At 46.2% G+C, this 26,822-nt stretch overlaps 1 long non-coding RNA gene across 1 annotated transcript, besides 3 other annotated features; it reads right to left on the bottom strand.

Moving 5' to 3' along the window:
• Window positions 2,726–3,651: an enhancer, noted in NCBI's record as "OCT4-NANOG hESC enhancer chr15:69412000-69412925 (GRCh37/hg19 assembly coordinates)". NCBI's record gives its function as "activates a minimal SCP1, AML or CMV promoter by ChIP-STARR-seq in naive and primed H9 embryonic stem cells {active_cell/tissue: H9 hESC(naive and primed)}" and the evidence as "EXISTENCE:reporter gene assay evidence [ECO:0000049][PMID:30033119]".
• Window positions 5,221–6,195: an enhancer, noted in NCBI's record as "NANOG-H3K27ac-H3K4me1 hESC enhancer chr15:69409457-69410430 (GRCh37/hg19 assembly coordinates)". NCBI's record gives its function as "activates a minimal SCP1, AML or CMV promoter by ChIP-STARR-seq in naive H9 embryonic stem cells {active_cell/tissue: H9 hESC(naive)}" and the evidence as "EXISTENCE:reporter gene assay evidence [ECO:0000049][PMID:30033119]".
• Window positions 6,196–7,170: an enhancer, noted in NCBI's record as "H3K27ac-H3K4me1 hESC enhancer chr15:69408482-69409456 (GRCh37/hg19 assembly coordinates)". NCBI's record gives its function as "activates a minimal SCP1, AML or CMV promoter by ChIP-STARR-seq in naive H9 embryonic stem cells {active_cell/tissue: H9 hESC(naive)}" and the evidence as "EXISTENCE:reporter gene assay evidence [ECO:0000049][PMID:30033119]".
• LOC124903516 (uncharacterized) lies at window positions 23,318–25,728 on the bottom strand. Its single transcript, XR_007064693.1, has 2 exons — window positions 25,639–25,728; window positions 23,318–23,716 (listed from the first exon to the last, which is right to left on the bottom strand). It is a non-coding gene; the product is annotated as an uncharacterized LOC124903516 (long non-coding RNA).
• Window positions 25,729–26,822: the final 1,094 nt, after the last annotated feature.

Below are 26,822 nucleotides of genomic sequence, written 5' to 3'. Positions count from 1 at the left end.
CTTGCTCTGTCACTCAGACTGGAGTGCAGTGGTGCAATCTCGGCCCACTGCAACCTCCACCTCCTGGGTTCAAGCCATCCTTGTGCCTAAGCCTCCAGAGTAGCTGGGATTACAGGCGTGCACCACCATGGCTGGCTAATTTTTTTTTTTTTTTTTTTCCAGTAGAGACGGAGTTTCACCATGTTTCCCAGGCTGGTTTAAAACTCCTGGCCTCAAGAGATCCACCCGCCTCAGCCTCTCAAAGTGCTGGGATTACAAACATGAGCCACTACACCTGGCCAAATGTACCACAATTTAGTTAACCACTTCTCTAAGTCTCAAACTTTTCACTATTATAACCAAAATTACAATTTTAGTTGTAATAATTCTGGTATTATTTTGGTGGGTAATTCTGAATGGCATGTGTGATTTCTTAGGATAAATTCTCAAAAGTGGAATTGCTGGGTCCGAGAATATATTTTGGGTTATGTATTTCCAAATTGTGTCTTCAGAAAGTTGGTGTGATTTTTTTCCAGTAGGATTTGAGAGCACCTGTTTAGTAGCCAACTCTTCAAAACCTTTTACTATTTTGCCCATCTGATAAGGTTAAAAAATGGTCTTCGATTATTTGAAGGTGCATTTCTTTGATTCTTAATTACGGCAGCTTTGAGGTCTGGGGTGGGGAGGTCTGAGAGGTAGAGAGGGCTCGGCCAGCCCTTTCTTTTATCCAGCCCACCACTCCACCCTAGTCTTAGATTTCCTTTCCTTTCCTTTTCTTTTCTTTTCCTTTCTTTTCTTTTCTTTTTCTTTTTGTGAGATAGAGTCTTGCTCTATGGCCCAGGGTGGAGTGCAGTGGTGCCATCTTGGCTCACCATGACCTCTGCCTCCCGGGTTCAAGCGATTCTCCTGCCTCAGCCTCCCGAGTAGCTGGGATTATAGGCACCTGCCACCATGCCCAGCCAATTTTTGTATTTTTAGTAGAGACAGGCTTTTACCATGTCGGCCAGGCTGGTTTCGAACTCCTGCCCTCAAGTGATCTGCCTGCCTCAGCCTCCCAAAGTGCTGGGATTACAGCGGTGAGCCACTGCGCCCAGCCTGTTTTCCTCTTTCTAGACCACTCCCTTCTTTTTCTCTCCCAGCAGCATGGGCAGAGTAGGGGTCAGGAGTTTTCTTTCTGAGGCCAGGCCAGGTCCTTGGTTTGTCCCTACAGATGAAGGTGCTGGTATTGGCAGGCCTCAGCCTGCTGTCCCTCCCCTGTAGGCTGGCAGGGTAGGGTCCCGCTGTCTGACTGCTCCACAGCTGGGTGGGGATGGCCACCTAGATCCCAGTCCTCGCAGACTGAGGGAAAGCACTGCCTCCATTGCTCTACACCTAGTCCATCCTATAGAAGCACAAGGAAAAGAAAAGCAATGATATTTAAATCACTGATGCCACTGGCAAAATCTGGGTTGCATCACAGTCAGACTAAGCCATTTAGAGCTCCATTCATCAAAAAGATGATGGATGGTGATGCAGCTGTCCTCAGGAGGCTTCCAAACCCTGTGAGCTTGGGGTCCCCACAGTTGGGAAACCTCCAATGGACGCACTTTTCTCCACTTTCCAGAGGTGAAGAGGAAGAAGAGGAAAAGAGAGGGAAGGGGAGAGGGAAGGTGAGAGAGAGAGAAAGAGGGAAAGGAGGGAGAGAGGGAGAGGGGAAGAGGAGAAAGAGGAAAGGCCAGAGGGGGAGAAAAAAGGGAAAGGGAAATTGAAGGGAGAGAGGAGGGAAGGAGAAGAGAAGTAAAGAAGGAGGAAGCGGAAGAGCATGAGGCAGGTGGGTTATCAGCACACATGCCAGACTTGCTGGCTGTTAGCGGCATCTCCAAAACATGAACTCAACTCCCAAGAGCTGTGGTGATGTTCATTTTATGGCGATGCCTTGGGGAGATGGAGGCAGTTGCATCACACCGCAGACCAGCAGATTATAATCAAACTTTCCTTTGTCCTATTCCCTAACTCTCCCATAGCCTATTTTTGAAAAGTCCCTTAATTTCCAGATTGTTTCAGTTCTTCAACTCAGCTTAGGTACTCACTGAGTAGAACAAGCTCCTGGTCATGCAGGTTGGCCATGTCTCTCACACCTAGTGTCTCTCTGGCCCCCCTCTCCCTCCCTCCCCCGGGTCATTCTAGAAGCCTGCTCAGCACTCTGGCCAGAGCTGTGTGATTCTCTGAAGGCTCCAGTTTCCCTGGAGCCCCCGTAACCCCCCAAAGGCCCAGTTCACTCATCCAGCCTCTTCCTAACTGATTTTTTTCTTAGGAATGGGACAGATGGTGGTTGCCTGGTAGATGTTAGTGTGTCATGGCAACATTCACCCCCGCTCTGGAGCCATCCATTCCTGGAGTATACGGGTCTCCATCTTCCCTCCAGATAATAAGGATTCTGAAGATTCTGACCTTTATTATACCTGTTGCATGTTTACACATGTTCAAGCACTTTACAGCTATTATCTCCTTAGAGCCTAGGACTGAGAAAAGGAGGGGAGGGAAGAACTCAGTCCTCTCCTGCAGTTGTAGGACACTGGACCACAGAGAAAACTGCAACCCCAAATGGATGATTTGCCCAAAGTCATGGGGTCAGTAGGGCCTGAGGTAGAACCGCAGCTTTGTCTTCAGACCCCATTCAAATCTTTTCCAATCCCATGCTTAGGACTGACTGCATTATGACTTCCCTCAGCCCTAGGCACTTTTGCCTTTGGGGGCCCCTTCTGCCATAACAAAATATTAAAAGTTATATTTTATGATTGCATTGGTACAAAGACAAGTATAATGTAGGCTGGATTTATTCTTCTATATCATTATTATTATATTCATTTTTTTCTTCTGATTTTAAAAGAAACCACAATTAAAACAAATTCATGGCCCCTGAAAGTCCTATGGGCCCCAGGCACAAAGCCTGCTGTGCTTAATGGAAACGTGGGCCCTGCCCTGCCCCTTCCATTAAACACTGAATGTATGCACTGCTGCCTGTTTTTCAAAGGGCTTTCACAGGTATGGAAGGAGGCTAGATTATTAGGAAGAAAAAAGATCTAGCTGATTAATAATGTAAAACACCTGCAAGCCTCACAGACGTCCAGCTGGGAAACACACAAAAGCAGCAATTGATATCCAAAATAGCCACGGAGTTAGAGCTCAGGCTCCCCTGGGGTGCTCGATTCCTTTAAGTCCCACCCACCCCTGGGTTCCCAACACTCACCCCACCCTGATGAAACCATCTTCAAGATCTTTCTGGTTCACAGTGTGTCACTGCACTGTGTCTGGTGCTACTACAGAGGGAGTTCTCTTCTCCCTCCTGGAGAGTACACTATTATCAGATTAAGAAGGCTGTGCCTTGTGACTGGGGACAGCTCCAACGTTCCAGAATGATACTGGGAGGCTGTGTTCAATTAAGAGGCTAAGTTACTCTCTCTGTGGGAGCCTTTGAAGATCCCAGGTAATGGCTTCTATAATTCTACTCAGGTAATTGCAAGAGTCACAGCCTGTCTTTTTGCCTTCAGGCAGGAAGCAACTAGAGCAGAGATGGCAAATGTGGCTTGCACATGCTTTCAGGACCCTGCCCACATTGGAGCAGACATTTCCACACTGTCACATGCTGTCTGCCAAGACTGCAGTCAGCTGCCTTGGGATTCTTCACAAACTGACAATGCAGTGTACCTGGGGCACCTCTGAATCCACCCACATTCGTAGGTGAGACCTATTAGCCATCCCCGATCTCAACCATTCCCTTCAGTCTTTACTCCTCCCACTCTTTTTGTAGCTTTAAAGAAATATATTCATAAGAAATCCAAATAGCACTGTACATGTTTAACCCTTGAAATAACGAGCATATATATGTATATGTGTGTCTGTGCGTGTGTGTGTGTATAAAACGCTGTCCCTATTTTACAAAGGCAGAAAGTGAGGCTCGAAGAGTTTAAATATTTAACCCAGAATATAACAACTAACAAATGGTAGAGCTGGGATTTGAATCCAGACTGACTAACCCAAGCCCAGAACACAGCTTAATGGAGATGAAAATTCTCATAGGGATTAAGCCCTTACATAAATGATGAAACACTGACTCTGAAATTCCTGGCAATGGAGAGATAGGGAAATGGGGGTAGAATTGCCCCAGAGCCATATGATGTGAGCCTTCCTAGTGAGACTGAGATCTTAATTTGCTCTGCCATCAAAGGCTCAAGACATCATGTGAAGGCTTTAAAAGAAAGGGAAGCATGCTGTTCTGGGGCACACACATCTGTTTCTCCTTCTCTTAAGACGCTCTCTGCTTCCTGCCTGTTGGCTGTGTCTGAGCAAGGGTCAGGTCACCATGGTGGCCTCTGTACCAACTGTCAGCTCTCTTCTTAACCCTAAAGATCCTGAGTTGCCATAAAGCTCACCATTTGCATATTTCCACCAGTCATCTCCCTGCAGGGAAACTTCAGACCTTTAAGTCATGCACCTGAAAAGGTTAGAATGAGGTAGGAGGAAGGTAAGCAAAGAATCAGCCCTACCCACCATCTGGAAAGGGTGGTGGTGAGACTGGGCCACAGGTTATGAGACCCTGGTCTTAGGACCACCCCCTGCAAAATGGAAGAAACCAGATGAGTTGAGTCTAGGGGAGCTCCTTATTCTCATTTCTCCTCCCCTTTCTGTGTCTTGACATCTCATCCACTTCTAGCCCCTTTCTTTCCTGGTCCATGCCTTTATGATACATGAATCCCCACCTCTGGTACCTTCCCTTCTACCATATGCCAATCAGCATAGACCTCTTCTCTATCAGAGAGGATGTAGGGGTGAGTTGGAGAGAGCAACTGCTCACTCTTTAAGCGCCTATTATGTGCAAAGTACTTTCTATATCTCATTTCATCTTCAGCCCTGTGAGTTGGTTGCACAAGCTGAATTTTGCAGTGGAGCAAAGGAAAGCTGAAAAGATGAAGTAATTTGCCCAGGGCCACAGAGGGAGAAGGAGGAGCTAGGAGTCGATGCCAGGTTGTCTGACTGCTCTACACCAGACAAGACATTCCCTCCCCTCCCCTGTCCCTGTCCCTTTCTGCACCTCCTCACAGTCCATCAAGCTGAGCAGTAAATCAGAGCTATAATGCTGATGAGTACCCCCCTCCTGGGTGACGTGCCCTTCTGTGGGGTTACTAAGGCGTCAGAATCACCCACAGGGCCAGTTAAACACAGATACTCCCTCCTCCAGATTCTGATTCAGGGGGTCTGCGGTGGGGGCCCAAGAATTTGCATTTCTAATAAACTCCCAAGTCATGCAGATGCTGCTGGGGATGGGATGGGGCAGAGACAGACCTCACTTTGAGAACCACTGCTCCAAATGTAAAAAGATTGAGTCTCCAATGATGGCATTCTCAGGTTTATAGCAGGAAAATATTTGGAGCTCAAGAGATTTTTCCAGAGACCCTGAAATTACATCAAGCAGGCAGCCGCCTCCTCATCCCCAGGCAGGCTGCTTTTCTCAAGTCTTTGTTCTTCAAGGTGAGCCAGAGAATGTGTTCTGTAACTTGATCTTTGGAGAAGGGAACCTCAGTGCTTGTGTCTCTAGTGCTGGTCTTGCTGTGCCGAGGGCCAGAACTGCCAAGCACAAAGGAAAAGGAAAAAGAAAACAGAGACAGCAGCTGCGGAGCTACCCCAGAGGCTGTGGCTCTAGGCTTTTCATTAGCTGGGACCCTATCTGCCCTCAGGGTCGAGTCTGACACAGGCTGACAAGCCACAGCAGATGCGTCCACTCACAGCAACTGCCCCCACCTGCCCAGTCATCAACACGGAACAGGGAGGGGGTTAAAAGGCAGAGTGACTGCTCATCTCGCAGCACCCCGCCCAGGATGGGGAAGCTGCCTCCCTGTCTGACACATTCAGGGTGCAAGAGGCAGCATCAGGCTCATGCGGAGTTCCCAGGAACACTATCCTACAGAGAGTGGCAAACCCAGGCAGGTATGCAAAGAGTTAGGTAAGGAGGGCTCTGTCAGAACAACCGTGAAAACTCAAGTCCCAGCCACTGTTCATGCTAATAAGAGCCCACATATTAGTGTTGAGGACTGTAGTTTATGGTTGGCTCCTCACAAGGGACTTGGTGCATATCACAAAGACTTGGAAGAACCTTTTCAATAAAATAATGGTAGCAACAACAATGACCATTTTTGAGCTCCCACTAAGTGCTGGGCCAGGCCAAACATGACTCCTTTAATCCTCACACCAAATTCAAGAGGAAAGCATTATTATTTCAATTTAATGGTGAGGAAATAGAGGCCCAGAGAGGCTACCCAGCCAATAATGGGCAGAACCAGGATTTGAACCCACATTCCAAAGTTTTTTCCACCGGATGAACAGCTTCTACTGAGTATAAGAAGGGAGTCACTGACATGGTAAAGAGAACTTTAGCCTAAAATTCAAGGGGGATGAAAGGAGGCCAGATAAAATGGCCAAACCAGATTCAGTGGAAGCATCCTTTGCTCTTCCACTAATTTTTCTATTTGATCATTAAATGTGTTAAATAACACCTCCCATCTTTAAAGAGCCCTCCCTTGACTCCACTACTCCCTTCAATTACTGCTCCATTTCTCTGCAAACCTCCACAAAGTTGTCTGTACTAGTGTAAGATGTACGCAAAGTGAGCTGAGGAGGAGGGGAGAGGCAACCTCCGCGGTGTCCTTAAAGGCAGAAGCATAGTGGGTGGGGCTAGTCTTGCTTCCCTCTCCCATTTGTCTCTCTGCCTCCTTAGGAAGGGCGCTGTCTACCCTGAGCCTGAGTAAGAGCTCTAGTAATAGGAAAATGAGCTAAGAGCTGATAGAGGGGCCTGGGTCCTGCTCACCTGGAGGTTGGGCATGCAGTCTGAGGTGTGTGTGTTGTTCAGACTTTATTCTCCAGTTCCAGTTATACTCATGGTTATTTCTTTGGGATCTGAAAGAAACAAACATTTGTGGAAAACCCACAGTATGCTAGATATTGTGTTAGATGTTTAATATTCTTTATCTCATTTGCTTCTCAGATAATGTAATAGGCTGTCTTTATTCTACAGAGGAGAAAACTGAGGCACAAAGAGTTTAAGTCCTTTACTAAGGCACCCAGCATGTGTGAAGCCAGAACTTAAATCCAAGAAAGGGACTGGGAAGAGCTTGCCCTGCTGACTTTATCTCAAAGGTATCCCAAAGAGTATATGGGATGGGGGAAAGGCAACACAGCACCCACAATGACCTAAAACCCACCTAGACCCTCATTTTAAGTCTTGACACCCTGAAGAGAGTCTAGCCAGCCAGGCTTGGAGGTGGACAACCTGATTCCTGCCCAAATACTTAGTTCATGGGAAACATGGCATGGTGATCCCGGATCCACACATTTTCATAGCCCACATGTCAGGAGAAGCACCTGATGCCATCATTTTATAACAGGCCAGAAAGAAACGAGTGATGGATGTTGGCAGCAATCCCATGATTTAGGCAACCTGAAGGTGGGGGCCTTCCCAGAGGAGATGGGATTCTGGACCTGTTGGGTTAGGAGGCAGGTTGTGTGGTGGTTGAAAGAGGGGATCTGGCCCAGGCGCAGTGGCTCACGCCTGTAATCCCAGCACTTTGGGAGCCCAAGGCAGGAGGATTGTTTGAGCCCACGAGTTCGCCTTTGGAGCGGCTGCCCATTCTTTGTGTCTTCCAGCAGTGGCGACAGCTCTGAAGAAGTAATGGGGTGGTCTGTAACAGTCAGGGATGTAGTTCAGGCTACCATGCCTGGGCAACATGATGAGACCCTACCTCTACAAAAAAATTAAAAAATTAGCTGGGCATGGTGGCATGTGCCTGTAGTCCTGGCTACTTAGGAGGCTGAGGTGGGAAGATCAAGTAAACCCAAGAAGTCAAGGCTGCAGTGGGCTGTGTTCATGCCACTGCACTTCCAGCCGGGGCAACAGAGAGAGACCCTGTCTCAAAAAAAGAAAGAGGAAATCTGGACTCAGCTCTGCTGACCAGCTGTGTTTGCTAACTGCCCCCAGCCTAAGGAATCCCATCTCTAAAATGAGAACTTTTCTTTGTAGGGTGCTATGAAAATTCGACGAGATAAAATATGTGACGCACTTGGCATGGCTCCTGGCACACAAACGATGGCTTCATAAATGGCAGCTAGCTAGTACCAAGGAGAACTGAGTTGGCTTTTGGAAGCTAAGGGAAGGGAGCTACCGCTCAGAGAGGAGTGAGGCTGTTTCTTTCTATTCTCAGACCTAAGAAGGAACAGGTTCAACATCCGGGCCACATCCCCATGGGGTTCTTAGGGATGAATCCCAATAATTCATGGAGATTCTCCTCAGACCCATAAAGAATTCTGCTGCCAGGCTGCTGAAGGATGGAGGCCTCTTAATGTCTAAGTGTGACTTATTTCCCTGCAGCTCCTCGTGAAGACGGGATAAGAAACTGCCTCTATCTGCAGACCCCTGGCACAGCTAAACACTCCTGTGTCTCCCAGCAGTGGCGGCAGCTCTGGAGAGATAATGGGTGATCTGGAACAGGCAGGGATGTGGTTCAGAACCAAGATTATCTCAGCCAGTGCAGCTGACAAGAGACAGTTTTACCGTGTCCACATGTTGTAATTGCTCCTTGAGGCTGCCTGCCTCACCGTAACCCCGGCCAGCCCACCCACCACACCCTGCTCCAATGCATAGGCTTCCTGGTTCTCACCACAGCTGAGCTGTCCCCCTCAAGACAGTCCTGAACACAGTAGATGAGAGAGATTGGTGCCGTCCTTTTTCAAAAAAGGCTTAGAAAAGCCATTGCCCATTAAGCAAGACTGTCGGCAAGAAGCAGGAACCACAAGGCGTGTCCCTACCTTCAAAGAATGTACAATTCAGCTGAGAGTGCAGAGGAAAATCACAAAGCGTGTTATTAAAGATCAAAAGGAATGTCCCAGGCAATAAGTTCTTGAACCGTTTGAAGCTGACGGATCACTGGAGCCTGGGGTGTGGCAGGGAAGGCTTCCTGGCAGATGTGAGGTTTGAGCTGGGCATTGGGTAAGAAGGATTTTACTAAGAAAGAGAAATGGAAGGTGTTTTCTTTCCAGGTGAGAAGCTGGCAAGAACAAAGGTGTGAGGGCAGGAAAGTGCACAACACGTTTTGGGCTAAGGAGGAGGCTAATTTGAAGTGGGCAACCTGTACTCGAGGGGCACAGAGGCAGAGGAAGTGGGGGAGCCCACGCCCCACAGGTGGTGAGGGGTGGCCTTTGAAGGGAGGCTTGGGCTCAGTCGCAGAGGCAGCAGGGAGCGGCGGCGGGGTCTTGAGTCTGGGAGTGCTCTGTTAAAGCTTGGCAGAAGTGTGCAGGGTGGATTGTGGGGTAGAGGTGAGGTTGCCACAATGCAATGCTGCAACAAAGCAAGTGGCGATGAGGACCCAGACCACTGTGGCCACCACAGACACAAGCAGGAAGAGAGTGGCCGAGTTCGACTGGAAGAAGACTTGAAGAGGTGGCACTGTCTGTGGGAGCTGAGAAGGAGCTGGAGTCTGATGGGACACTCCAGCTCTCCAGCCAGACCAATTGAATAAAAGGTGTCAGAGAATCACGAAAGGAAATAAGGTAGTGAGAGAAGGGGCCGAGTTTTCTGGGAAGTTGACAGGAAATGTAGAATACAAACCATTTTGTGTGAAATAGGGAGCAAGAAATCTGGAGCAGGAGATGGTCTTGAGAAGGTTTCTCCAAGAATCTAGAGACAATAGCAGCAATACCGGACACCCGTGGGGGAAGCCTCAGCTCAAACAACATCCATTTCCCGCTCCTGGGCTCCTCTTATTCCCCAGCCCTTCAGTCATGAGGAGAAGCCCCACTCCACTGCCCTCATCCTGACTCATCATTTAATCCTTTCACTCCCCAGCAATAGGAGCCATGTAACAATGATATTGTTGCACCCAACAGCAATTTAACAGTAAAAAGGTTAATTACATTTTTTTAAAAATCAATGCAAAAGGAAGACATTCAAACAGTTGGGCAGACTAATTGAAAGCTAACGTTGTCACTAAATTGAATTTCAAATGAATTTTACATTCATAGTTCATTTTGCTAATTTCATTCTCTGCATCCTGTAATTTGTTGACAGTGATTGATTATTTAAGTGAATAATCTGTGTACTAGGATCATTTAGTAATAGAAAATGCCACACATGATCACAATGTTAATGAATACTATTTACTTAAATTTCCACTGCCTATTTAGTTTGTAGGACATATTGGACCAACAGACATAGCCCCAAGATTCAGGGGATGAGAATGATCCATAGCCATTGGGGTCACTTTCACAGCATGGGGGTGGATTGGGTCCCTGTACCTTTAAGACAATAGGCCACATTTGTACTTTATTCATGGATCAACTATCATTATTTTTTTTGTTTTTGTTCTTTCAGCAAAGAGAAAACAGAAACACAATATCACCCCCCGCCCATATTTCCGGGATTTGAGATCCAGGAATCTCTTTTGGAGAGATTATTGATTATGTCAGTCTTGAGAAAAACATGACTTGTGTCAGGGGAATAAGGAGGAAGGGTGAAAAGAAGCTTATGATGGAGCTAAAGTAGTGCTACAGTTAACAATTTTAAATATATATATATATTTTCTAGAGCCTACATTTCCGAAATTTCAATGCGTATCAGAATGGCCATTCTGAGTGGCATTGTCAGCTTCTCTTCACTTCAGCAGTCTTTAATCTCCATTCTTATTTGTTGAAAGATAAGAAAACAAATATATTGGCAGGTTGTCATGAAATATTTTCTTCCCAAATCCAATATACTATGTGTGATTCAAATCTATTTATACTCTTAAAAAATGAAAATCAATGCTTCTATTTGAAGCATGGGCATTTGTTGTTATCAAGTTTGCCTTCACAGTGAAGAGTCTGGTGAGAGCTTTCTCTGTTTAGGAAGGTTGTATGTTCTCGCAGGTGGCTGATGGGGCCAAGGTCCTGGCATAGGCAGCGGTGGTCAGTATGAGCAAAGCCAAGGTCAAGAGTGTCAGACTTTTTTGGATTGTCAATTTCATTATATTTTAATGGCCACAGAATATAAGTCCTTGAAATTATGCTTTGGTGGGTATAGAAAGGCAGGAATTTGCCTGCACTACTGGAGTTTTCATTGGTACAGTAAATTCATACATCATTTAAAATGTGCATATCCTCCAACCCAGTCATTCCTTGTATGGGAACAGAACCTACAAATATCCTCACATATGTACACAAAGTATATTGCAAAGATATTACTTGAAGCACTCTTAGTAATAAGCATAAAACTGGAAAAAACATAAGAGTCCACAACACATTTTATGTACCATCTATAAAATGGAATACTCTGGTTCTTAAGAAAGGATGGATGCATTTGCTTGCTAGGGATGCCATAACAAATACCATAAACTGGGTGGCATACACATCAGAAATTTACTTCCTCACAGCTCTGGAGTCTACAAGTCCAAGATCAAGGTATCAGCAGGGTTGGTTTCCTCTGAGGGCCCTCTCCTTGGCTTGCATATGGCAGCCTTCCCACTGTGTCTTCACATAGTCATCTTCTGTGTGGGCATGTCTGGTGTTTCTTTCTATTTGTGTCCTGATCTCCTCTCTTTTTTTTGAGGCAGAGTCTTGCTCTGTCACCCAGGCTGGAGTGTAGTGGCATGATCTCGGCTCACTGCAACCTACACCTCCCGGGTTCAAGCAATTCTCCTGCCTCAGCCTCCTGAGTAGTTGTGATTACGGGTGCCTGCCACCACGCCCAGCTAATTTTTTGTAATTTTAGTAGAGATGGGGTTTCGCCATGTTGTCCAGGCTGGTCTTGAACTCCTGACCTCAAGTGATCACCTGCCTCAGCCTCCTAAAGTGCTGGGATTACAGGTGTGAGCCACTGCACCCGGTCCTGATCTCCTTTTCTTATATGGACATTGGTCATACTGGATTAGGGTCCACCCTAATAATCCCATTTTAACTTAATTACCTCTTTAAAGGTCCTATTTCCACACAGAGTTGCATGCTAAAGTACTGTGGGATTAGGGCTTCAACATCTGAATTTGTGGGTGGGACACAATTCAGCCCATAGCAATGGATTAGCTCCATGTACTCTCACTTGGAAAAGTGGCCATGACACCTGCTTTGAGAAAGAAGCAAGGTGCAGAACAATATGCATAGTATGATCCCAATGTTGCTTTAAAATTGTGTGTGTGTGTGTGTGTGTTTGTGTAGGAAAACATCAGCAAGGGCATGAACCGAACAGTTAACGTGGCTCTTTCTGAAGAGTAGAATGGGAGTGAGGAGGACTCCAACTTTTATTTTAGTTTATAAATGCCTGTATTGTGTTTGCTTTTAAAAATAATGACCATGCAATAAGTTTGTAATTTAATTTTTGCAAATCTGACAGGACAAAAAAAGGAAGGCTGCTTTTGCTCACTGGGAAGATTCACTGACAATACATGTGTCTGGGTATTTTCATCATCACCACTATCATCATTACTATATCAAGTGCCTACTATGTGCCAGGTGTTTTACTCTCAATCTCATTTGGCTCTCACCATAATTCTGTAAGCTATATATTAGTATTTCCTTTTTGTGGATGAAGAACTTGGGCCCAGAGAGGTTAAGCAATTGATCCAAAGCCACAGGGTAAGGTAATTGACCATGCTGGGTCTTCCATTGGCCATCCATTGGGCCACACAGATGGCTTGAACCAAATCTTTCCCTTTGACAGAAAAACAACTTGGAGTGCCTGCTGCTGAGCTTGTTGATGGTAGGAGATTGGTGACATTTCCTTATAAAGAGGTGTTCCCTCTGGCTACTGGGGGCTAGTCCAGGAGATGACCATGACTAGTTCTTCAACTGCTTCTCCTTCAAGCTAACATTCATGAGTGCCCACTACATACCCAGTTCTGTTACAACTGCCTAATATCTACTAATGGGCCCCTCACAACAACCTCATTTATCAATGAAAATAATGAGGCACAAAGAGCTCAAAAAAGGGAGGGAATTTGAGTGAGCATGTGCTGCTGTCTTTATGCAAGCTGCTAAACAGCTTGGTGCTCTGCTCTCAGTTACAATAACAGGGAGGCAGGAAGAGCATCAATGATACAAGTTCCTTGATAAATCAAAGGCTCAACTGAAAAACGTGGGCCAGATGGCAGTGGAAGTAAATGTGTAAATGGGTTCATCATTAAGTGAAACAATGAATGTTGCAGTGCCATGGACAGTGCCTGGCACAGTGTATATCCTCCTGGACAAGCAGGAGCTGTCTCAGACCACAGGCAAATGGCTAGCTGCCTGGGCTGGACACTGGGCAGGGGCCAGTGATCCTGGGGCTGCAGAGTGTGGGCCTATACCCAGGGGTGAACCTGAGACCTAGAACCAAATATACAGTTCAATCAGGAATCATTCTTGGAATTCCAGACCAGAGTGGAGATTTCAGACTTATCTGGAGGACAGCCTGGGGTTTCTTCCTTGGTCACTGGGGCAGAGCTGCTGGAAGGGTCTCTGCATTAGATGGGAAGTGAGAATGAGGGAACTGGGCAGTCTTGAGCTCGTGGCAGGTGCTGAACATAGGCTAGTTTCTTTTTACTCTGAAGGCAAGGGGTGTTCATTAGTGCATTGGTGACATTTGGGGTACCTTGGAGCATCACATTTCTAGCCAAGTTTTTTTGAGACTAGGTTTTAGCTCTGTTGCCCAGGCTGGAGTGCAGTGGCATGATCATAGCTCACTGTAGCCTCAAACTTCTGGGCTCAGGTGATCCTCCCACCTCAGCTTCTCGAGTAGCTGGGACTACAGGCACGTGCCACTCTGCCCTGCTAATTTTAAAAAAATGTTTTTGTAGAGATCAGGGTCTCACTATGTTGTCCAGGCTTAATCAAAAATTGTATTAATGCCTTTAGGACTTGTCAGACTTCACTGAGTTACTGAATCCAGCTGGTGATTTCATGTAAGAAGTAATGTTCAAAGCTGTGCCAAAAGCAGGTTGGGGAAAAATAGCACAAACTCTGTAAGACAGAATGGGGACCAACAGAGATAAATGCAAAGCCATGCAGGTAGGTTCAACGTATCATTGCACAAGATGGTTTGAGAGGTCAGGCTGGACAACACTCACATGAAGACTTGCAGGTCCTTAGCCACCAGTTTCGTGTGAATTTAAAGTATAATATGACACAACTGCTGGAAAAATGATTGCAAATTTAGTCTGCATTCCTAGAAGCGTGGTGTGTAGGTTTAGTGAAGGGTGAGTTCCACTGGCCTTAGACTTCATCAGGGGAGTGAGTCCAGCTGGTGACCAGCAACATCAGTTGTCAAACAGCAGCCCAGGAGCTGGATCCAGCCTGTAGAATATTGTTTCGGCCACACGATACTGTAAAAAAATGAAAAATTGAAAAAAAATCTGATAAAGATGAAAAGTTTTCAAATGAAAACCCAGAGTTCCAGTAGCTTTGGAAAAGCTCAGAGAAGCTGTCACCCTCCTTTACTATAAACACCTGGCAGGCTCTGAGTAGCACCTGTGTCCTTTAGATCAAGCATCTGCTGCCAGTTTGCCAAAGTGCTCACCACTCCCTCTTGTCCCACAGTAGCAAGGTTGAGTGCTCGTTGCCTTTTATCACTGGGTTTGTAGAGGAAAGCATCTCTATATCCATGTCTCTAAGAAAAGTGGGAGAATGAAAGAGTGAGGCAGCCATATGATTTTACCATACCTACCCTGCTCTATTTGTTTTCATTACTATCCTGGTGTCTGTAGAACTTTGAATTTGCGGTCCTTGAATACAGTACACATAGAAGAAGAAACACAGCATTTAAGAAGGGAACGGTTAGTATGGCTGTAGACGTTTAGCATAGAGAAGAAAAAGCTCAGAGGATGCATTATTGGAAGGACTATCGTAGGTCAGAGGAATCAGCCTGTGTTGCTCCAGAGGGTAGACCAGATGATGAGAGATTCAGAAAAGCGGACTTCAACTTAATAGGATGGGTTTTTCAAATAGGAATGAGTTGTCTAGAGGAATGGAGACCTGGAAGAGGTGAGCAGAGATTGTTATGGGATGGGGTCAAAAGAAGTAAGGAGAGGCAATACACATAGCCAGGAAATCTGGTACCCCCATTTATTTACCATGGCCTTGAACAAGTTATTTAACTTGATGTCTGTAAAGTGGACATTAAAATCATACTACCCTTTAGAGATGGGGTGCAGGTAAAATCAAAGATTGCCAGTAAATTATTTTGCATAACACTTAGCATGTGATAAACACTCAATAAATTCTAGCTACTATTATTTGCAATTCAGTGAAAGGCTGGATAATTCATCTCTGAGAGCATTGCCAAGTCTAAGTTCTGTGATATTATGTCTCATTCATCTCCTTTTCCTCTCTCCAAGAAGTTGCTAAAAAGAAAGAAAATGAGTGAATTTCAATCTCATTTTCTTTTATTGCTTCTCCCCCCACTCCCGCCAAGGCGCTTCTAACTCTTGAAATGGCCACAGGCTAACTATGAGAACTGCAAACTTTATATTTAGCTTCTTCTATGACCTCTTCTCTTGTACCAACCATCCTGGAAGTCTGCTAAGTTTTGCAGAAGATATGCTCATTTGAAAATGTTTGCTCATCTCCATTGCTTCCAATTTAAAGTTGATTGCCCTGAAACCTTTTATTAGTAGTGATGGTATCAATGGGCTGCATCAAGTTCAAGATCAATCAGCTCTTTATGAAATGAACCTGGAAGAAGCAGGCAGACAAATACAAAATGCTGAGCCATTAAATCAAGATGAGACCTCTTCCTTCAAACATGGGATAAATGTGTGCTGGCTGTATGGGTTGCTGGGCTTGTGGTTTTATGACTAAATTTGGTACAGAAGGGAAAAATCATGAGAGAAACACGTTTGTTCTTTTTTTAGTAAGACGGCTGTGGCAGACACTGCAAAATATACACCTATTCCTCCCTCTTCCTTACTAGTCAAAAACCCTGTTTTGTTCAGAATACCAATGTGCCCAGTTAATCACACTTCCTCAGTCCCCCTTGGTGCAGCTGGTTCTGACCAATGAAACAAAAGCAGACTTCTTGTTGCCTGAGAATAAGCCTCTTACTTGCTCAAGTCACTATTTATCAGGTGTTCTGTTACGTCTAACCAAACAAGATCCTATCTGATTCATAGGCCAGCTACGTACTAAGTGTTTCTGTTAGTTTTCACTGCTTAACACCAAAGCTTAGGGACTTAAGGCAATCTTTTTATTATGATGATTCTATGGGTTGACTGAGGCTGGGCTAGAGAATTCTTCTGCTGGTCTCTCTTGGGTTGTCATGTAGTTACAACCAGGATCCAAGCTGGCTTTGCTCACATGCCTGGCACCTTTTTTTTTTTTTTTTTTTTTTTTGACATGGAGTTTCACTCTTGTCACCCAGGCTGGAGGGCAATGGTGCGATCTCGGCTCACCGCAACCTCCACCTCCCAGGTTCAAGCGATTCTCCTGCCTCAGCTGAGTAGCTGGGATTACAGGCATGCGCCATCATGCCCGGCTAATTTTGTATTTTTACTAGAGATGGGGTTTCTCCATGTTGGTCAGGCTGGTCTCGAACTCCTGACCTCAGGTGATCCGCCTGCCTTGGCCCCTCCCAAAGTGCTGGGATTACAGGCATGAGCCACCGTGCCCAGCCACATGCCTGGCACTTTGACAGGTATAGTTGAAAGGCTGGGACCTCTCTTTCCTCCATACGTTTCCTCATGGCATTTCCACACAGCAGCTGGATCCCAAGTGAGATGTCCAACAGCGTGCATTTCAGGGTGCAAGTCTTTGACAAGCTTTGCGGGCATCATACCTGCTAATGTCCTGCTGGCCAAGCCCAGTCATTGCGAGAGGGGACTCCACAATGGTCACCAAACTAATAGTGTGGTACACCAGGGATGTTGCAGAGTGATATATTCTTTATACAGAGGAGAAGAGAGCACTGTGTAAACCTCCAAGCTCCGCCTGAGTAGTGAAGTCTTTTCCACCATGTTTTCCATGATTTCATCCTCCTTCCCCATCTTACTCATTTTTTTTCCCTCTCCTTATAAACTACCTGCCCTTCCCTCCTTAAAAAAAAGGGAAAAAATATTGGTCTATTCCCAGTTCCAAAATAACATCCCTATGAATTAGGATTTAAAACTTCTAAACTATTATTGTAAACTGATAGCCTACAGGCATGTTATGATTGGGGCAAAGGTTTTTAAAATAGGGAAATTTTATCTTAGAATCCACATTCCAAGCTTCTTTTGAAAATAAGGAAGGGCAAGCACTCCTGGGCCCACATTCTTTCATGGCAACAACTGGCAAGAGCTGACTTGAGGCCTCCGCTTGTTAGAGGGCCCAGGACTGTCCAGTTTACCACAGTCCTCACCATTCCATATAGTCTCATTCAGATTGGAGCCATGGGTTTTAATGGTGGTCTGGCTTGTCTGCCTGATGCATTTCTGTGATCTGCCTAGCCTTTGAGTTACAACCCCTTCTTTACACTTACTCTGAATTTTCTCCCTTTCACCATTCCCCGCACCCACAATTCACCACAATTCATCTCCTCTCCATCAAATGTGCTTATTGTTATTCTCCACTCACCATAATTCTATCATTGTGTATTATCTAAAGCCTTTCCCAGCTTGAGGCCAGCTCATCAAATAATGCTTTGCCCTTTGTTTAAGTGGTGCCTGAAATCCCATGTCCTTTTAAAATCCTTGCTTTACTTAATAAGGGTAAAATGGCAGTGGATTTATCTGCATTTAACTGTGTTTAAAAACAAAACCCCAGGCTCTACTCCGCCTTCATAATATCTCAAGTCAAAGCTTGATTGATGACAAATGCCACTGTTTCTGGATTATAGAAAGATGCTCAAGACACAAGGATGGAGTCTTCACGTAGAGCAGTGTTGTAATGCGAGGACTGAGAAACACAACTGAGTCCTTTTCAAAGAGTCACATTTGGTCCAGATTTCAGATTTGGAGAATCACCAAAGGCGATGGTTCTCAAAGTGTGGTCCTTAGAGCAGCACCACCTGCAAGCTTGTTAGAAATGCAAAGTCTTAGGCCCTACCCTTGACCTAAGGAATTAGAGACTGTGGGGAGTAGGGCCCAGCAACCTGTGTTTTAGCAAGTTCTCCAGGGCATTCTGATGCACACTTCTATTTGAAAAGCACTGACTTAGAGCCATCTCATATCATTAGGCCTTGTGGCTCCAGTTTGAGCTAAGCTGAGTAGGTGGACCCCTCCCCAAGAAGCAGCTCGTTCTGCTGTCTTTTTTACATTGCCGAAGCCCCTTCTTTCCACAGGTAAGGGATTCCCAAAGTGGCTCAGCATAAGTGCGCCACCTGAGGAGTGACTTCCAGCCTCCCTCCCTACTCTGAATCCGTAGGTCTGGGCTGGAGCCTGGAAATGTGCAGCTCTAACAAACTCCCCAGGTAATACTAGTGATCAGTTGGGTTTGGAAACCATTTGTGGAAAGTACCTGCTAATGGGTTCACTTCTTTCCACCTCCCACTAAGCACAAGTTGGGCAATTTGGTGTGTTCCTGGAAAATGCCTTGAAAGCCTGTCAATTCTACTGCAGGTTTTGGAGGTCCACTGAGAGGCCACTGGGTGTCTAAGGAGTGACACAACTTTTTGCACACTGACCCACTTCCACGTGCAAAGTGCAGCTCTCCCCACCGAACCTCCCCCACCCTAATGCCCACACGGCCACACTCTTTGGTCTTCCAGCCCTTTGGGGCTTTCTGTAATGGCATTTGACCTATAATATGCTTTCCGCCTGGCCACAGGGGATGTTTGCAGACCTTCTGGTGGGTTAATAAATAAATGATGGGCTTCTTTCTGGCCACAGGAAACCATCTCAAGGTCAATGATATTGCAGAGTAGGGTTTTACAGGGCTTGCTAAGATTAAAACATCATCAGTTCCCACTAACCACATCCCCTCTCTTCTGAAACTTTGAAGCTTCGCCGCAGCAAAAAGGAGCACAATTAAGCCTCGATAAAATTTTAATAGCAGGAATTATGCACTCTGCAACCAGCCTACAATTAGCCGTTGCTATGCTACGGGCAGAACCTAATCATGATAATGAGGCAAACAAAGGGAGGGAATTAATCAGGGCTATAAGGTTAGTGCACAGCCGGTTCCATCTCAGAGCTCTGATTTCTGAAACACAGCAGTTGGGCCCCTGGGAAATCTCAGTCCTATGCAAGGTTAGATTAGCTGGTGTGTGTATGCAGTGTGTGTGTGATCTTCCGAGCAAAGAAGGCTATGTGCAATACCATCCCTACCATCATCAAGACGATGCATTCATTTAAAAAAATGGTGGTGTCCCTACTCTGTGCAGGAAACCATGCTAGATCCTGCAAGAGAGATATTGCTACACTAGACATGAGCCTTGCTCTTTAGGACTTTGCTATTCCAAGTGTAATCCTTGGACCAGCAGCATCAGCACCACCTGGGAGCTTGTTGGAAATGCAGAATCTCAGGCCCACCCCAGACCTCCTGAATCACATTGGATTTTAACCAGATCCCCAGGTGATTTGTGTGCACACTAAAGTTGAGGCACCCTCCTCTAGGAGACTTCAACCTAGCAATGATAACTATTCTTATTGTAATTATAATAACTATTATATCCGCCACATTCTGTGCAAGGCATTCAACACATGTGATTATCTCATGTACTTCTCGCCATAACCCTATCAGGCTCCCCTCATTGTGAATGAGAAGTTGAGGTTCAAAAATGTTAAGAGACTTGCCCAAGGTCACTGAACTAGTTAACAGGAGGGAATAGGATTACAATCCCAGGGTTTCCTGATTCCGAAGCCTAGATTCTTAACCTACTGGTATGGAATGGCTCCCATCCCACATAGATCAAAGGTGAATAAAGATAGTCACAATTCAGGTTAACATGTGATAAAGGGTCACAAGTGAGTTTTTTGTTTGTTGTTTGTTTGTTTTTTAAAGAGGATAGTTTTAGATCATAAAGGGGCAGCAGTCCCTTTTAGTATGGGCAATGAGGGATGGAGGAAGTAGCATTGGAGCTGGCATTTGAATGGTGAGCAGGCTTTATACAGACATAATGATGGGAGGGCATTTCATGTAGCAGGCCCAGCACAAGCAAAGCACAATAATTTGAGGGCATGAAGGATGTCCATGGGGCTACTAGGTATAACCTTTAAGTATGATACATGCGTGAGGTAGGGCTGGATTATGGAAGGCCTTAAATGTCAAGACAAGGGTTTGGACTTTATTAGGGGGTGATGAGGATCCATGAGGGGTATCTGAGCCAGAGGCATGACATGGTCAAGCCAATATCTAGACAGATCTGTTCTGGCCATGGTGAGCTGCACAGAGAAGACCACAGAGCCTCAAGCTACTAAGTGGAATCAGAAAGGAAGGGGTGCCAAGAGGTCCTGCCTGAAGAGGGAAGCAGGGCCTGGGGCTGATGGGAGACATGGTCAGGGCGATGGGATGAATCAGAGCCTCCAGTGCCATGAGAACACTGGAGCCAGGGGAAAAATAGTTTGGGGAGAAAATGGCAGCATGGTTTGAGACCTATTACATTTTTCATTCAACAAAAGCTTATTGAGAGGGACAGCAGAGTGAATAAGTCACAGAAGCCAACAACAATGACTGGGCACCATGGGCCAGGTCCCGAACTCAGTGATTTAGAGGCATTGCCCTCTGACCCTCACCAGAGACTCTTAAAGCAACTTGTTCCCCACCAACTCCCAACCCAGGTTGCCTTTTAAAATTACCTACAGAGCTTTAAAACATACCAGTGCCTGAGGCCCGCCCCTCCACGATATGTGAACTGTTACTGAGTCAGGGTCCTGGTTAAAGCTATGAAAGTCTCAGGTGAATCTTGGTGGGACCTCCAATTTTGCCAGTGTCCTGTAATTTACCAAAGACTGCCAGGAACACAGTTAAACCAGTTGGGTTTATCGCTTACTGCAGAGAGGGAGAAGGCACAGCATGGGAAACCATGGGGTGTGTTCTCTCCAAGAGAGGATATTAGAATTGATTATAGAATCTTGGCTTTGATGGGACAACTTGGGAAGGGGTCCAAGGAAGTGAAGGTTACTCTAGATTGGATGCTGTCAGTAAGCAGGGGCAATTCTATGATTGGGTATCTCAATAAATCTCATCTCTAGGGACTATGGGAAAGACTAGAATGAAGATAAAGTTGAAATAGAAAAGAAGTAGCAGTCATTCATCTTGGCCAAGAGAGGGGCTACTTGGTATTTTGTGGGTGGCAGAGTGACCTCATTCTTGTCTGACCTTAGGTAAAATTATGAAGTCACCTTGCTTCATTTCATTTTATCTTGGCCTCGGAGTTAATCTGTCTGAGGCTGGTATGCTGTGAGATTGTTTAGATCCAAGAGGAGAATAGCATGGCTTAGCTGCAAGGGTCAGGCCAGCTTCTAAATGACAGGGGCTGCTTTTCTTTTTTCCCATCACCCATAGTCCCCTCATCATCCCCATTCCTCCCCGCACCAAAGGAAAGAGAAGATGGAGTAGAGGAGAAAGAGAAGAGTGAATGGAGGTTGAAAATTGAGAAAGTGAAAAGAAGAGGGAAAATAAAAAGGTATGAGAGAGTAAACCTTACAGACTTTGCTTCTCAGCTCCAAGCTGAACTATCTTTCAGCTCAATCTGTGGCAGAAAAGTGACGAGAGGGAAGTGATCCATTGATTTTTCACTGCCCTGCAGCCCAGCCCCTCACGCATCAGCAGTGACCTTGCCGCCATCCCCACTCAGAGCAAGAACTCTTTCCCGCCATCTGTTTGGCATCAGGTGATTGGTGGTGCTCAGTTTGGTGTGAAGGGGAACCTGCTCATGGAAGGGCAGGAGGGTGGCAGTGAGATGGTCCAGGGAGCTGTGCCCACAGCTTCTGTGTGTGTATGTGTTTTTGTGTGTGTATACGTGCGTGCATTCGCATCCTTACTTTTGGCCAGACTATGCTAGAAGTAGGTTGTCATCCAAGATGTGTGTGCCAAGGGCACTCCCTGAATCTGGAATGCTGGCCTCAGTCCAGGTGTCTTGTGGCCTCCCCACCTCCACTCCAACCTAACTAGAAGTGGAGGGGCATGTGTCCGAGCCCTTGAGCGCTCCCATCTGGCTCAAGGGGCTGACATCTGAGGGGGTAGAGCCATCCTCCCCTTTGGGGCTGGCTCTATGAAACTCTGATGATTCGAGGGCCCTGGAAGCAGCAGGGCCCAGGTGGCATGGAACATGCCATGTCTTTTGTGCCTTTCTTTACTTGGCTTAGGCTTTTCCCGTACCTGGAATCACTGTGCCTACCCTGCCCTATTCAGCCTTCAAGACTGAATGCAAATGCCTGCCTCTCCCAGCTGAATCAGTATTCCCTCCTCCCTGCTCCCAGAGAGAAGTCTTTGCTCCTCCATCTATGGAAAAACTTCTCACATTGTATTTATTACTATATGTTTCTTACTGGAGTGTCTCTCCTACTGGACAGGGAGCAGGTTTATTTATTGCTCAGTCCTCAGCCCCTGGACTTAGGCAGACTCATAGTAGACATTTGGGAAATGCTTGGGAAAGAAAGGAGGGGAGGAGAGAGGAAGGACTCCATGGCCATGTCTAAATGCCCAGCAATGTCATAGAGGTTATGGGGGTGCAGGAGAAGACACAGCCCTCCCTCTGGCAGCTAGGATAGAGCCTAGCTGCTGTTAAAGACAGGCAGCTCATTCCTCACCTGGGCCAAGCTGCAGCTGGTCATCTCTGCCCCTTTCTCCTTCCATCTTATGGGAGCTTTTATGGAGTCAGAAGTGAGTGAGGCAGACCTGGGAGAGCCCTACACTCAGGAAGAATGTAGGCTGCAGAAAGGAACAGGTGTCCTGGAGTTAGCTCAGGAAGGTCTTGAAGGAAGGGGTTAACTAGCAGATGGCAACCCAGTGACTTTTGTTGCTCTCTGAAGCCACAGAGGAAAACAGTAGCAACAAAATAAAATAAAATAAAATAAAAAATAATAAAAAAGCAAAGTTCCCAAGGAAATAAGATGGGGGAATTGGGAATTTAGAAACATATTACTCACTGCCTGAGCTCCCCTGGGCAAAAGCAGAACTACTTCAGCACTCATTTGGTGTGGCTGGGTTCTCGGGCAGATGCAGGCTGTCACCTCCTGGCTGCTGTCTAGGCCCCAGCAGGGGAGACCTGCACACTGTGACGTTCAGAGGAGCTGAGCCTCCTCTTTGCAAACTTAAATCGTGGAGCTTTTCAATTATGCACTTCAGCACCTGGAGCTTCGGTGGAGATGCTAAATGAAAGTGATGATCCACACATGCATAATGATTCATAGCATTTGTAATTGGTGAAACGCATAAAGAGAATAGGGAGAGGCAATTAAGGTAGGAGAGATTTTTTATTTTATTATTTCAGCTTGAGATGAGCATGTTGGTCAGCACCTCGGGACTTGACAACTTGTCAAATCCTACCTCAAGGCCACAACAGGAACCACAGACAGGCCTTGTTTCAGAAGTTCAGGGATTCAGCCAAGGGGAGCAGGGAGAGATTTGGGAATAACATCTGAAATGTTGCCCTGAGTCCACCCTCATGGGGGCATCAAAATGCACAAGGGGCAAGATCTTGACAGTTGCAATTTCAAAGCATCTCAGCATAGGGGAGTGGCCTATTGGAAGCCACATAGACCAGGGTTCAAATCCCAGCTCCACCAGCTCCACCACCTGCTAATTATGTGATCTTAGACAAGGTTCTTGAGCTCTCCAAACTTCTATTCCATCACTGCAATGAAGAGATCGTGGTTGTTGTGTGAGGCTGGTGGGATCTGGATTAAATTAAAGGATATGCCATATGGAAAGGGAGGGAGCACAAGGCCTGGCATATTAGAGGTGCCCACAAATGGAAGTCCCCTTCCTCCACCCCCATCCCCCTTCACAGGACAAGAACGTGCCTTCCTGGACCCTCCCTGCCAACATACCCAGACCTCACGGTTTCTCATCAAAATGAATTATTCAGGTCTTCACCTGTATCTAGACACTCAGTGAGTGTGTCCTTGGCAAAGGGGAAGCACTTGGCTGGAAGTGGTTGTTGGTGGGTTCTAAATATTGACTTTCTTATGTGTGAAGCAGAACTTCTTCTAATTTGTCCCAAAGAATATCTGCCCAACTGTGGGTTGGGCCTCAAGCTGGAGCAGGCCGGTATTGGATATGAGTCTCTCCTTCCCCATCACGATTTTATCATCTCTAATCGCCTCTCTGTCCAGACTTCCAGGCTCCAAGTTTCCAGCTTCAAGTGATTCATCTTAAAGCCCACCCCCACGGGCCCCTCATCTGCTGTTTAATTGGAGAAGGGGGTGCTAGAGGCCCAGGCGCCTTAATTGCATTTGTTAATGGGTAGGTGCAATTATCCCTGCCACACTCCTGCACGCTGCCAGGCAGACAGAGATGATTAAGGGGGTCTTTACAATTCCAGCTCCCTGCAGCTCTCTCCACTAATTGAGCAGTGGAGGAAGCGATATTGAGCTCCCCTACTCCTTTCTTTAAATTAACTCCTGCCTCCAAAGTCTTCCTTGGAACAGTGCATTGGCCACATGGCTCAGAGCGTTTAGTTCCAACCCCATCCGTCACCTGTCATTTAGGCCCAGGGCCTAGCCAGACCATGAGTTGGTCTATCCATCACCCACAGGCTGGGAGTGGGCTGGTAAGGGGGGGTGCCTTTGTGGCCCCTGGAGGGTGATACCATCCAGCCTGATGATAGCACCTGTCATGGAGACTATAACTGAGAAGTGACTCAAAAGTTTCCACTGTCCTCTGAGCCTTGGCCACCTGAGTTCAGCCCCAGTCTGGACCACCACAGTTGCCTACGAACTGGTCCCCCACTCCCTAGCTCCATGCATTCTCCACCCAGTAGCCAGAATGATCAGCTTGAAATGCAAATGGGGTCAAGCACGAATGTTAAAAACCATTTGATAGCTTCCCAATGTATCCAGAATGCCATCCAAGCTCCATGCCATCGCCTGTAAGGGGCTGTCAACCCAGCGCCTGGCACACTCTCCATCCTCAGCCTGTAGGCCTCTAGCCCTTGCTTACTAAGCTCCAACCACACTGGCCTTCACAGTCCAGCTCCTCAGACATACCAAGTTATTTCCAGCCTCAGGGCCTTTGTACATACTCTTTCCTCTGCCTGGAAGAAGCGGCCCTCACACTTTTTGTGGTCAGCACCTTCTCACCCTTCAGGTCTCCATTTAAAAGTTGCTTGAGAGAGGCCTTCTTTCCTTCTGTGACTGCCATATCTTAAGTAGTTTCCTACCCTCTTAGTTCTGTTTTTTAAAACCTTTGTGTGTTTCCTTCAAAATATATTTCACAATTTTTCATTATTTTAGTTTTGTTCTTTTGCTACATGTTTTTGTAATTGTTTCTGTCTCACTAAAGTCATGGAAGCTATAAATTCCATGAGGTCAGGATCTGTCTTCTGGTTCATCATTGCATCCCAAATGCCTGTTGAAGAGATTGGTACCTCCTCATTCATTCAGCAAATATTTATTGAGCACCTGCTCTGTGCCAGTCACTTCTTTTAGGCATTGGGGAGACAGCAGTGAACAAACAGGAGAAAATCACTGCCCTCCTGGATCTTACACTCTAAAGGGGACAGGGGACAGGGGAGTCATGCAATAAACAACATGGGCTAGGTATGGTGGCTCATACCTTGAATGCCAGCACTTTGGGAAGCTGGGGTAGGAGGATCGCTTGAGAACAGGAGTTTGAGATCAGCCTGGGCAACATAGTGAGACCCGTCTATACAAAAAAAGAACAATTAACAAAAGTAAATCATATAGAATATTAGAAGGTGACTAGGACTCTTTCTACCAATCAAGGCTGGTGACTAATAATTCTCTGGGATCCTGGGAATTCAATACTGGGTAAAGAGAAAAAGAGAGAGATAGTATTGGGATGTGAGAGGTCAGTTAACAGGGTGGTTAACATTGAGATGTAAATGCATTTTGTTCCCATAAAAACGAAGACCATCACTTCCAGCTTCCTTCTTCCCAGTACCCATCTTCTAACCACTGCTGCCTCCTGAGTGGGTCTAGTTCCGTTAGAGAGAGCCATAGAAACTGTCCCACCCTGCAGCCCATCACAGCATGGTGCAGTCAGGTGAGCTTGGGATTCCGCCTGCCTAGGATTCATTCCCCTTTCTTCTGGAAACAGCATCCCAATTTGGAGGGAGGGGCAGTCCCTATCCCATTGAATATAGGCTTGGTAGGACTGTCAATTACAGTAGTCTGTCCTCTTCCAGCCAACAAGTGGCACTGGGCCCAGCTTCCTCCCCAAACCTGAATCCTAAATGGAGAGACAAAAGAATTTAAAAATAGAAGTTTATTTATTCCAATGAAATGATGGTCCGTTCCTGGCACCCAGATCCTGACGCTGCCCTTCTTCCTGTCCTTTCCAATCATGTGTCTTCAGCTTTTCCTTTCCTTCTGGTGTGGCACCACAGTCCTTCAGCAATTTTTTTGCTTGTGATAGTGGGAGTTGGTTTCTGTGGCTTGCAACCAGAGATCCCTGGCTGGTACTGACTGATACTGTGTCAGTACAAACTGATAAGGTGGCAGACCAGTTCTCTTGTTTGTTACCTGGGTGAACTTGGGTTAGATGTCTTTGGGCCTCAATTTCCTTGTCAGTACCACAAGGATAACAATAGCATATTTCTTAGAGTTATTGTGAGGATTAAGAGACTGGGTGTTTGTGTATGAAAGTGCCTGGCAGTCCTGTCCTTTCCCCTCCCCTCCTCCTCCTAACCTCTCTCACGAGTCCAAAAGGAGATGTGGGGAAGCAGGGATGGCAGGTCTCCACAGAGGTTCCTATGGGAACCCTAGCCACATGTGCAG

The sequence above is a fragment of the Homo sapiens genome, chromosome 15, assembly GCF_000001405.40.
Source record: "Homo sapiens chromosome 15, GRCh38.p14 Primary Assembly".
NCBI lineage: Eukaryota > Metazoa > Chordata > Mammalia > Primates > Hominidae > Homo > Homo sapiens.
Note: the sequence above shows the minus strand (reverse complement) of the source record. Positions and strands in the feature narration are given on the sequence as shown.